Below are 13035 nucleotides of genomic sequence, written 5' to 3' on the forward strand. Positions count from 1 at the left end.
CCATAAAACATTTGTATGCCAAGACCAATGTAAACAAAATTTTAAAACACCTAATAAAATCTACTACTAAACGAGGCATTGTGGCTCATATTTGTAATCCCAGCACTTTGGGAGAGCGAAGTAGGTTGATCACTTGAGCCCAGGAGTTCAAGACAAGCCTGGGCAACAGAGCAAGACCCCATCTCTATTTTCAGTAAATCTTTTTTAAAAGAAATTTTTTTAAATCCACTGCTACACTCCCACCCATAAGGAGCAGATATATCTTTAACTTGGAAGTGGTTGCTGATATGGAAGAAGAAAAGATTTGGAGAAGTTATATCATAAGACCATTGAGCACAGACCTGATAATCAACGAATGTGCACAGATATGACCAAAAACCTATTAAAATGCTGATTTACAGTATCCCCTGCCTGGAGCCCCATTTTTTCCTACTTTTGATCCAGCACCAAAGAGGTAGGGTTAGCACAGAAAGAGGCCTCTAGAACCCTGATCCAGCCCTGCTATTTGCATCCATTACAATTGGTCAAATGAGTCCTATGTGGTACTGATTCTTAAATATTTTAATATTATCCTTGATTGTATAGATATCACTCAAGAGCATTTTTAGGACCAGTAGGAAGAACCATCTCCTCCTCATCTTCCTTCCTCCCACTCGTGCTGTGATATAGCTATGTTAAAGAAGTTTACTTTTGTAATTACCTGGAGGGATGAGAAAGAACATTATTTACTGAAAATGTTCGGCATTAGGAGACTGGAATAATACTCAATAAAATAATTATCTGTGATGCTAAATAAAACATTTGTCAATAGGGGTGAGAAGTGAGGAGAGAGAGAAGAGCAAAGCTCAAAGGCAATGTATGGGAAGGCACCACAAAAAGGTAATGGAAGATAGACTCCTATTTGTCTGTGGCAACTCACACTACCTCTCCTCAGGGATTCCAAAGCTGGTATCAATAGTCTAGGCTTATGGATATTGTTCCATATGTTAAACTATCTAAGGAGATAAAAATCCCAACCTTGGAATTCCTTGAGGAACATCCCCTCCCAAAATTTTGAGCCCCAATAAGCACCTTGGTCTAACATGTCACCTGTTATCTCCTCATTCTAGCCAATAACTAAAAGTCATAAGCCCTGAACCTATCTCTCCTTTTGAATTATTCTGCTTTGAAATGAAATGTAGACAGAAGTATAACTTCGTTTAAAAGCATCCTGGCAGTTACCTTTTGCTCTTTATCCTTAAATCCTTGAGAGAAAATGTTGGAAAATAATTATTAGTAGATTTTGGGCTTTAATGTTCAAGTTCCATAATCAGTATACACAGAGTCAAGATCCTTGAGCACAAAGAGGCCACTTTTGCTCATCTGCTTCCTCCAGAGCAACAACCCTGTATGTGAGTTTCTATGGTAGCCTGCAAGAACCTTAAAATTAAGAACTGTCTTCTATCAACCCGCCCTTCATGTAGTGAACCTAACTATTAACAAAGAGCCTCAGAATTGTGCTAGAATTCAGTCTGAGACTAAAATATGGGGACACAAACCATCCTTATATAATTATGAAATTCTGGAACCACTAGGCTCCTCAGTGATAATCTTGTATAACCTTATACTTAAAGAAACTAAGAACCAGATATTTTAAGTTACTAGTGAAAGATTTGACAGAAGGCAGTGGTAGATAGAACCAAGCCCCCACTTCCTTTCATGTATTTTCATAAAGGTACTACATAGGCTGGGCATAGTGGTTCACGCCTGTAATCCCAGCACTTTGGGAGACCGAGGCAGGGAGGATCAGTTAAGGCCAGGAGTTTGAGACCAGCCTGGCCAACATGGTGAAATCCTGTCTCTACTAAAAATACAAAAATTAGCCAGGCATGGTGGTGCACGCCTGTAATCCCAGCTACTCCACGGGTTGAGGCACAAGAATTTGAACCAGAAAGCAGAAGTTGCAATGAGCCGAGATCACGCCACCACACTCTAGCCTGGGCAACAGAGCGAGATTCTGTCTTAAAAAAAAAAAAAAAAAAAAAAGGTATCATATAAACAATTAGGAGAAGTGAAACTATAATGGTGCTATCTATGAACCAATCATTCTGTGCTAGGTACAACACATTGCTTAAGCTTGTCCTGCAGATTTAGGGTAGCTAAAAGTGAATATGTTTTATTTAGACAATTAGAGATAGCTGAACAAAATCTACAGATTATAGTAGTGTATCTATGTTTATTTATTTAAAAAATTATAATGGTATAACAGAGTGTCCTTGTATTTGGGAATTAAACACTGAAGTATTTAGGGATAATGAAGTATCATATCTGCAACTTACTCTTAAATGGCAGAAAGTGTGTGTGTGTGTGTAGAGAGAGAGAGAGACAGACAGACATTGCTTTGTAATAGGATGATAATAGAGATGGGAAGAAATGCACAGATTAAATGTGTTTTAGAGCTAAAGTCAAAAGATTAGCTGATGGTTTAAATATATGGCTAAATGAAAAAGAATCATGGGAAACAGATTTTGGACTGGAGTAACTGAGTGATAATGGTATCATCAAATGAGATAGAGAAGACTGGGGTAATCAACATGTCTGGAGGAGAGGGGTGACAAAATAGGGTACCAAGAATTCTGTTTTGTTCATGCTGTATTTAAAGTACCACATCAAGATATCAAATATTCAGTTCTGTGTATATATATATATATATAGAAATATATATGCATGCATATACATATATATACACACATACCTATACACATATATGTATATACGTACACACACGCACACATATATGTGTATAGGTATGTGTGCATATATATACGAGAGAGAGAGAGCATGGCTATATTATGAAAGAGTCAGGGATAAAAACAAAGATTTTAAATAAATGGTAACATTATTCAAAGTGACTTTGATTTTTTTAAAAAACAGGCATTCAAGTGTACCTTAGAAATACCTACTGTTTGCCTGATTTCAGAAGGGCAGCAAATAAAATGAGCCATCATTTTCCTATATATAGGCTTTACTAAAGCTAGAATAGCTCCATGAGATCTTTTCAAATCCCTTTGATTGTACTGTAAACTTCTAACAGATCTGGAACACAAAAATGACCATTGGTTCTTCTATAAACATCTGTTTTCAGAGCCGGGTGTGGCGGTGCCTGCCTGTAATCCCAGGACTTTGGGAGGTGATGGAGGAGGGTCACTTGAGGCTGGGAGTTCGAGACTAGCCTGGGCAACTCAGCAAAACCCTGTCTCTACAAAAACTAAAAAATAAGCTGGGCGCGGTGGCTCACACCTGTTGTACCAGCTACTCAGGAGGCTGAGGCAGGAGGATTGCTTGAGCCTAGGAGGTCGAGGCTGCAATAAGCCAAGATTGTGCCACCATACTCCAGCCTGGGTGATAGAGTGAGACCCTGTCTCATAAAAGAAAAAGAAGAACGTCTGTTTTTAGTTTACTGTTTGTGGGGGTGGGAGTTGGTGGACAAAGGAATGGAGAACAAATAGGGGAAAATCAAGTAATTCTCAAAACAAAAGTAAATCATTGAAATAGTATATGTATGAGTTAACAGAAATGAGTCAGAATTCTAAAATAAATATCCTTTGAATTTCATTATACCAACCTAGAAATTCCTGCAAATATGAATATGATATAGCCTTGCCACTGACGTACCCCTTTCAATAGTCTGAAATAGAGCAGCATTATGTTGAATTCCATGCTGTAGCAAATGGTACTATAGCAAAGCCCTGGTGTTATTTCTGAAATTATAACTTTGCAATTTGTAAAGTCCTTTTACCAACACTATTTAATTTTGTACTTCCCTACAGCCTTAAAATATAAATAAGATATGTATTATCATCTGTATCTGATAGATGAAGAAAATGACAGCCTCTGAAAAATGAAATGGCTTGCCTAAAGTAACATGGCAATTTTAAGTGAAAAGACTATATTTAGAAGCCAGATCTTCTAATTCCTGGCCAACTGCTCTTTCTGTGACATCATAAAGCCTCTTTCATCCTTCCCACATTGTTGAGTGTAGTTATTTACTAGCAGTTTCCCAAATTTTATGAGGTACAAAATCAAAATAACGTAGAGTAAAAAGAATGACTGACATGACATTACATCAGAAATAGCTAAGATTAAAGTTTATATTTCCTGAGTCACTATTTCTTAACTAATCCATTAAATATTCACGGACGACTCAGCTATAGATGTTTACCATTGTTTTTTTTTGGCAATAACTATGTAATACCTTGAGCTAAAACTATGGGGAAAATATACCTGGCATTCCCAGCACTTTGGGAGGCCGAGATGGGTGGATCACCTGAGGTTGGGAGTTCAAGACCAGCCTGACCAACATGAGAAATTTCGTCTCTACTAAAAATACAAAATTAGCCGGGCGTGGTGGCACATGCCTGTAATCCCAGCTTCTCGGGAGGCTGAGGCAGGAGAATCGCTTGAACCCCAGAGGCGGAGGTTGCAGTGAGCCATTGCACTCCAGCCTGGGCATCAAGAGTGAAACTCCATCTCAAAAAAAAAAAAAGAAAAGAAAAGAAAACGAAAAAGAAAAAGAAAGAATGCTTGGGCCAAGGGCGGTGGCTCATACCTGTAATCCCAGCACTTTGGGAAGCTGAGGTAGGTGGATCACCTGAGGTCTGGAGTTCAAGACAAGCCTGGCCAACATGGCGAAACTCCTTCTCTACTAAAAATACAAAAATTAGTCAGGTGTGCTGGCGCACACCTGTAATCCCAGCTACTCAGGAGGCTGAGGCAGGAGAATCACTTGAACCCGGGAGGCGGAGGTTGCAATGAACTGAGATTGTGCCACTGCACTCCAGCCTGGGCGACAGAGTGAGACTCCATCAAAAGAAAAAAAAAAGAATGCTTATAATTCCATTTCCCACTAATTTTACTATATTTTTCCAAGTTTCCAAAGAGATAATGGTTATATTATACAAGCAACATAAATGTTTTTAAAACCTTTTTGCAGGAGGAAGTTTAAAAATCACAAAATTGCTAAAGCAGATGTGGCAATTACCAAAAAAACAAAAAAAAAAAGAGGAAGTTTAAAGAAAAACTAAATATAGAAATAATGTTAGACTATTAGATGTTAGAATGCATGAGTGGAGTTATTGTGGCAGCCACATATGGGAAATCTTAGATTTTACATTTTGGGACATGTTCTGCACAATACCTCTATTCACTGAAAATGCCATTATATGAGCGTATGATGGATGATTGATTTTGTTTATTTTAGGAGAGATGTGAGTGTAGTTTAACAAAAGCCCAGAGAATAGTAAGTTGAAATGTTTCTCTTCTAGATATCATGTTTCTCTTCTAAAATACTCTTTTTTGTTAAAAAAATCATTTATTCTTATATTCATATAATAGCTTTTGAATACAAGCTCCAAAATTAAAATTAAATACGGTAACAAGTCAGCTGACCACAGTTAATTTTGCCCCAAGTCATATAATTACAGTCTCAATTGACTCGTTATTTACCCTTAGAAAGTCACTCCAAGCTGGCTGTGGTGATTCGTGACTGTAGTCCCAAGTACTTGGAAGTCTGAGGCAGAAGGATCATGTGAGTCCAGAAGTTGGAAGCTGCGGTGAGCTGTGATTGTGGCACTGTACGCCAGCATGCACGACAGAACAAGACTCTGTCTCTTAAAAAAAAAAAAAAGTTACTCCTATACTAAAAACACACACAGTGACCCACAACTATTACATAAAACAGACTAATAATTGAAGATTGAAAAGATTCATACTCCGCTATACATATATTCAGTTAAACCAGAATTATTCTAAAACAGTATAATCCATAATGTGGAAGATCAGTAGTGTATATAATCCAGAATAGTCCATAACCCCGAAAGAGAAATTAAGGACATGCATTTTGGTAAGATATGAATATTTGACATCCTGATAGTTCATACCTCCTTAAAAAGATGAAGGTATATTATGAATACTAAAGATCTGACTAGATAAGAGCTAAGTTTTACATTCTGGCTCCTAACTACAATGTTTATTTTCTTTCTTCTTTTTTTTTTTTTTTTGAAGGAGCCTTGCTCTGTCACCCAGGCTGGAGTACAGTGGTGTGATCGGCTCACTGCAACCTCCACCTCCCGGGTTCAAGTGCTTCTCCCGCCTCAGCCTCCTGAGTAGCTGGGATTACAGGCCCCACCACCATGCCCGGCTAATTTTTGTATTTTTAGTAGAGACAGGAATTTCATCATGTTGGCCAGGCTGGTATCAAACTCCTAACCTCAGATGAACCACCTGCCTGGGCCTCCCAAAGTGCTGCGATCACAGGCATGAGCCACCGTGCCAGCCATCCTAATTACAATATTTTCAAATAAAAAATTATGATAAATAATCTTAAATAGTCTGAAATCAGCTCTGCTATAGATAATTCATAAAGGCTGTCCAGCCCATTTCTGGCTCCTAGTCCAGTTTCCTGTCCCCATACTCCAAAGTCCTCTTCCCAAGACAGAAGTTCTTGATTCCCTGCCTGGCTTCAAGCTTTGGAAACAGTGCTGCCTTTCCTCAGGTAGGACAGCCAAAAAGTTATTTTTTTATTATGCTTTTTTGTATTTTCTAAATGTTCTATAATAAACTATTTTAAAACTCAGTTTTTAAGAAGCAATAAAAATATTGTAAGGGATTTACATTCAATTTGCAAGTGATTCAGTAATAAGTGATATGTGATCTTGCCATTTGTTGCATCCTTGTTCTGATTTCCCATAACAATTACCATATTCATAACCTAGGCCTTCCTGGTTGGAAATTGTCTTGTTCCCTCTGCCACCACAGAGGACTTAGAGCCCTTCACTGAGCCCTGCCTCCTGCCACTCTCATCTGTGGAACTGGGACCCTGTTAACTAACGGCTTACTTCTCCCATATTGCATGCCATAACAACACTCATGCTCAGGTTATCCTGTTACACCTGTGTGAACCTTCCTGCTAGGAACCGCTTTTCTGGCTCACCACTACTACCTGTTGCTGTTTTCCCTAGAGACCAAGTTCTGTAAGTCTTGAGGAGGTTGCAAACTGATGGTGCATAGGGCAAATTTAGCCCGCTAACATATTTGGTTTGGCACATTCAATGTTTGAAATGTTTACATTTGAATGTCCTTAGGCCAGACATATGTTCCCCAGTTTGCCATAGCCTCCAGTACTCCCTACTGTATATCTGCCCCTTTACTGGTTTACTTACTTGCTTGGAACATGAAGTCATTTGAGTTAGATCCTTAGGGAGAGAGTCCCTCCACTATCCCTACAGAACTTACCATCTCAGCTGGGCTCTGCTTATCTAGTAACTCAACAGAATGTCTAATTCTAAGTCTCAATTTTGCCTAGTCTTTCTGGCTCCGTTGATGTCAGCAAGTCCATTGTGTGAAATAACAATACTGCCTCAGTTGCAAGAAATTGAGCTAGGAAGATGATAAGATATTGGATGCTACTCTAGACTTACTGACTTGTTTACTACATCCCTCCAAATTATAGCTGTTCTCTGAAGAAATCTAAAAAAAAAGAAAGAAACTCACCAGAAGAGGGAAGCAAAGAACAGCCCAGATTTGCAGAAACATACAAATCTGATGGCTACTGAAGTAAGCATTACTGCACTTATTGATGACTTTAAGCAACTATCACAAGGATGGATGTTCATTGCCCAACCTTTCCATATGTAGTAGGTCCAGAAAATGCGCCCAGCCCCAGGCCCACATTCACTAAAGGATTGAATAAAGGATTCAATCCTTTATTCTCTACTGCATATTGAGAATTTGTTGAGTTTGAGAAAACATAGCATATCAGTTAGGGGAAAAGTTGGAGGAGGAAAGAGTCCAGATAGGGAGAACGTTGAAGGAGAAGTAAGAATAGAATAAGAAACAACCAAGCAAGCATGCGTGTAAGTAAAGAGGAAGGGAGGGGCCAGGCATGGTGGCTCACAACTATAATCCCAGCACTTTGGGAGGTCTAGTGGGAGGATTGCTTGGAGCCAGGAATTCGAGACCAGCCAGGGCAACAAAGCAAGACTGTAACTCTACAAAAAGAATTTTTTTAATTAGCCAGGCATGGTGGAGCACACGTGTGGTCCCATCTACTCAGGAGGCTGAGGAAGGATGATTCCTTGAGCTCCTGAGTTCCCAGGAGTTCAAGGTTACAGTGAGCTATGATCATACCACTGCACTCCAGGCTGGGTCACAAAGTAAGACCCCATCTCTGGGAAAAAAAAAAAAAAAAAAAGAGGAAGGGAGGAGGAAAGGCAGGGGAGCAGGAAAGCAAGTTAACAATTTATTGAGCATGTACACATGTGTACTTGATCCTTTTATAGATATCATTTCATTTAATGCTCACACCTTACTAAAGGTCACAGGGGCTCAAAGCAACAAAGTTGGAACGTATGTGAAGCCAAATATGTGACTCACAAGTCCATGCTCTTTTGATAACACCACAACTCTCTCAAAGGTGATTTATTTTAATCTGTGCAGCAAACTTTTACATAAGAGGTAACTCAACAGTACTTCACATGAGGAATAGATAAATTTAACTTTGAAAACAATCCTGTGAGGTACAGTTGGCCCTCCTTATCTATAAGTTTCACATCCACAGAGTCAACCAAACATAGATCAAAAATAGTTTTTAAAATGAAAAATAATACAAATGTTAAAATATATATATAGAACAACTATTTACATAGCATTTACATTGTATTATGGATTATAAGTAACCTAGAGATGATTTAAAGTATACAGGAAGATGTGCATAGGTTATATGCAAATACTATGCCATTTTATATGAGGGACTTAAGCATCAGTGGCTTTTGGCATCTAAAGGAGTCCTGGAACCAATCCTTCCCCTGATATGAGGGAAGACTGTATTGTGTTTTCCATTTTCACAGATGAGGAAACTAAAGGTCACAAAAGTAAAACATCATGCTGACAGCCAAGGGCTCTTGCAAACATCTGCAGTATCACTGGGTGTGTATGCCACAGGCAGAAGGGTTACCCCATTCTCTGGGCATCTTGCAAAGAGGTGAGCTAAGTAGGGCCAGGGTGCAGCTGGATGCATAACAGGGCTGTGCTTAAAGAGAGGAATCCACCCCTGTTCCTCTCCCCTTTATAGGGCAAGATGAAAGTGGAATTATGAACAAGGGACATAAAGTCTGGTCTGGGACACTAAATGGTCTGAATTTGGGTGCCAGTCATCTGGCAACACTGCTTATTAGTTCCTATGGAAAGTTGATTTTGGTCACAGCTCTGCCCACTGGGAGAAAAGGAGCAACAGTTACCAAGACAAGTTGTTTCAGACATAGCCACTTTCACTGGCAAAAGGAGAGGAGGCCCCAGCTTCAGCTAGTTCATCCAAACAACCTAGAGAGAACTTCTAGTGTCAAGAAGTCTTTAATCATTCATCAAAAATAGTGACAGAGCCAGGACTTGAATCCAGGTTTCGTTATCTCAGAATCCAGGTAGGAGCTATAAAGCTATTCCTTCATAAGTGAGGGACAACAGCCAAATCCAATAGCTATAGCAAATTTGAGGTTGTTTCACATGACTTTAGATTTCAGTTGTTCAAATGGCAGGTGAGTGTCAAACAAGGAAATGGTTCCAAGAGAATGATTCAATCATAACACCCCAGACACGGCTAGGGACATGAAAAGGAAGAACTGGGAGGAAAAGGGTACCTCAGAGATTAACAAAGGAATCACTCAATTGTCTTATTTATTTATTTGCTTACTTTATTTTTACTTTAAGTTCTGGGATACATGAGCTAAACGTGCAAGTTTGTTACATAGGTATACATGTGCCATGGTGGTTTGCGGCACCTATCAACCTGTCATCTAGGTTTTAAGCCCCCCATACATTAGGTATTTTTCCTAATGGTCTCCCTCCCCTTTCCCCTCACCCCCTGACAGGCCCCGGTGTGTGATATTCCCCTCCCTGTGTCCATGTGTTCTCATTGTTCAACTCCCACTTATGAGTGAGAACATGTGGTGTTTGGTTTTCTGTTCCTGTGTTAGTCTGCTGAGGATGATGGTTTCCAGCTTCATCCATGTCCCTGCAAAGGACATGAACTCATTCTTTTTTATGGCTGCATAGTATTCCATGGTGTATATGTGCCCCATTTTCTTTATCCAGTCTATCATTGATGGGCATTTGGGTTGGTTCTAAGTCTTTGCTATTGTGAACAGTGCTACAATAAACATATGTGTGCATGTGTCTTTATAGTAGAATGATTTATAATCCTTTGGGTATATACTCAGTAATGGTATTGCTGAGTCAAATGGTATTTCTGGTTCTAGATCTTTGAGGAATTGCCACACTGTCTTCCACAATGGTTGAACTAATTTACACTCCCACCAACAGTGTCTTCTTTTGAAAAGTGTCTGTTCATATCCTTTGCCCACTTTTTGATGGAATTGTTTGTTTTTTTCTTGTAAATTTGTTTAAGTTCCTTTTAGACTCTGGATATTAGATCTTTGTCTGATGGATAGATTGCAAAAATGCTCTCCCAATCTGTAGGTTGTCTGTTCACTGTGGTGATAGTTTATCTTGCTGAGAAGAAGCTCTTTAGTTTAATTACATACCAGTTGTCAATTTTGGCTTTTGTTGCAATTGCTTTTGGTGTTTTAGTCGTAAAGTCTTTGCCCATGCTGATGTCCTGAATGGTACTGCCTAGGTTTTCTTCTAGGGTTTTTATGGTTTTAGGTTTTAAGTCTTTAATCTATTTTAAGTTAATTTTTGTATAAGGTGTAAGGAAGGGGTCCAGTTTCTGTTTTCTGCATATGGCTAGCCAGTTTTCCCAATACCATTTATTACATAGGGAATCCTTTCCCTATTGCTTGTTTTTGTCAGGTTTGTCAAAGACCAGATGGTTGTAGGTGTGTGGTGTCACTTCTGAGGCCTCTGTTCTGTTCCATTGGTCTATATATCTGTTTTAGTACCAGTACCATACTGTTTTGGTTACTGTAGCCTTGTAGTATAGTTTGAAGTCAGGTAGTGTGATCCCTCCAGCTTTGTTCTTTTTGCTTAGGATTGTCTTGGCTATATGGCCTCTTTTTCAGTTCCATATGAAATTTAAAGTAGTTTTTTCTAGTTCTATGAAGAAAGTCAATGGTAGCTTGATGGGAATAGCATTGAATCTATAAATTACTTTCGGCAGTATGGCCATTTTCACAATATTGATTCTTCCTATCCATGAGCATGGAATGTTTTTCCATTTGTTTGTGTCCTCTCTTATTTCCTTGAGCAGTGGTTTGTAGTTCTCCTTGAAGAGGTCCTCCACATCCCTTGTAAGTTGTATTCCTTATTTTCTTTGCAGCAATTGTGAATGGGAGTTCATTCATGATATGACTCTCTGTTTGTCTATTATTGGAGTATAGGAATGCTTGTGATTTTTGCACATTGATTTTGTATCCCAAGACTTTGCTGAAGTTGTTTATCAGCCTAAGGAGTTTTGGGGCTGAGATGATGGGGTTTTGTAAATATACAATCATGTCATCTGCAAACAGAGACAATTTGACTTCCCCTCTTCCTATTTGAATACACTTTATTTCTTTCTCTGGCTTGATTGCCCTGGCCAGAACTTCCAATACTATGTTGAATAGGAGAGGTGAGAGAGGGCATCCTTGTCTTGTGACAGTTTTCAAATGCTTCTAGCTTTTGCCTATTCAGTATGATGTTGGCTATGGGTTTTCGTAAATAGCTCTTACTATTTTGAGATATGTTCCATCAATACCAGTTTGTTGAGAGTTTTAGCATGAAAGGGTGTTGAATTTTATCAAAGGCCTTTTCTGTATCTATTGAGAAAATCATGTGGATTTTGTGACTGGTTCTGTTTATGTGATAGATTACGTTTATTGATTTGAGTATGCTGAACCAGCCTTGTATTTTAGGGATGAAGCCAACTTGATTGTGGTGGATAAGCTTTTTGATGTGCTGCTGTATTTGGTTTGCCAGTATTTTATTGAGGATTTTCGCATTGATGTTCATCAAGGATATTGGCCTGAAATGTTCTTTTTTTTGTTGTGTCTCTGCCAGGTTTTGGAATCAGGATGATGCTGGCCTCATAAAATAAGTTAGGGAGGAGTTCATCTTTTTCTATTGTTTGAAATAGTTTCAGAAGGAATGGTACCAGCTCCTCTTTGTACCTCTGGTGGAATTTGGCTGTGAATCTGTCTAGTCCTGGGCTTTTTTTGGGGGGTAAGCTATTAATTACTGCCTCAATTTCAGAATTTGTTATTGGTTTATTCAGGGATTCAACTTCTTCCTGGTTTAGGAAATCACTCAATTTTCAACCTTTTCAGTTAAACTCATTTTTTGAATTAAAAGACAACTTCATAAATAACTGTACTCACTGTTCTTCACCAAAAGTCTCTTTATGAAGAAAATTTCTATATAAACAAATATAAGAGCTCAAAGAGCATTTCTACTCTACAAGGCTTGGATCTCTCTCACTCATTTATGTCATTTTTGCTTTTAAAATAAAGTTGACTGTATATAAGAAGTCTTATTGTGAATACTCTTGTAAATACCTACTCCATAATTTTTTTTTAATTTCCAATACTTTTGCAAATATCTATCCCACAATTTTTTTTTTTTTTTTTTTTTGAGACAGAGTCCCTCTCTGTCACCCAGGCTGGAGTGCAGTGGCGCCATCTCAGCTCACTGAAACCTCTGCCTCCCAGGTTCAAGCGATTATCCTGCCTTAGCCTCCCTAATAGCTGGGATTATAGGCACCTGCCACCATGCCCAGCTAATTTTTGTATTTTTTGTACAGACGGGGTTTCATCATGTTAGGCAGGCTGGTCTTGAACTCCTGACCTCAGGTGATCCACCTGCCTTGGCCTCCCAAAGTGCTGAGATTTCAAGTGTGAGCCACTGCACCTGGCCTTCAATTAATTTTGAAATCATAACTGAGCTCTTAAATACAGATTTCTTTATACTAGGCTCACAGAGTTCTATGACTATTATATTAGTGTTTTACCTCTGTATAGATTTGGAGCAAAGACTTGCATTGTTTTTTCTTTGAAAGGTTGAGAGGTGTTT

The 13035-nt window shown here is 38.8% G+C and overlaps 1 long non-coding RNA gene across 2 annotated transcripts in view; it reads right to left on the reverse strand.

Annotated features, from left to right (window-relative positions):
• DMXL1-DT (DMXL1 divergent transcript) overlaps positions 1–13035 on the reverse strand; it is a 74579-nt gene that overhangs the window by 18281 nt on the left and 43263 nt on the right. For both annotated transcript variants that reach the window (NR_134249.1, NR_134250.1), the window contains one exon: positions 5485–5648. This is a non-coding gene — a long non-coding RNA (DMXL1 divergent transcript). The remainder of the gene's footprint in view (positions 1–5484; positions 5649–13035) is intronic.

This window comes from Homo sapiens, chromosome 5, assembly GCF_000001405.40.
Source record: "Homo sapiens chromosome 5, GRCh38.p14 Primary Assembly".
Lineage (NCBI taxonomy): Eukaryota > Metazoa > Chordata > Mammalia > Primates > Hominidae > Homo > Homo sapiens.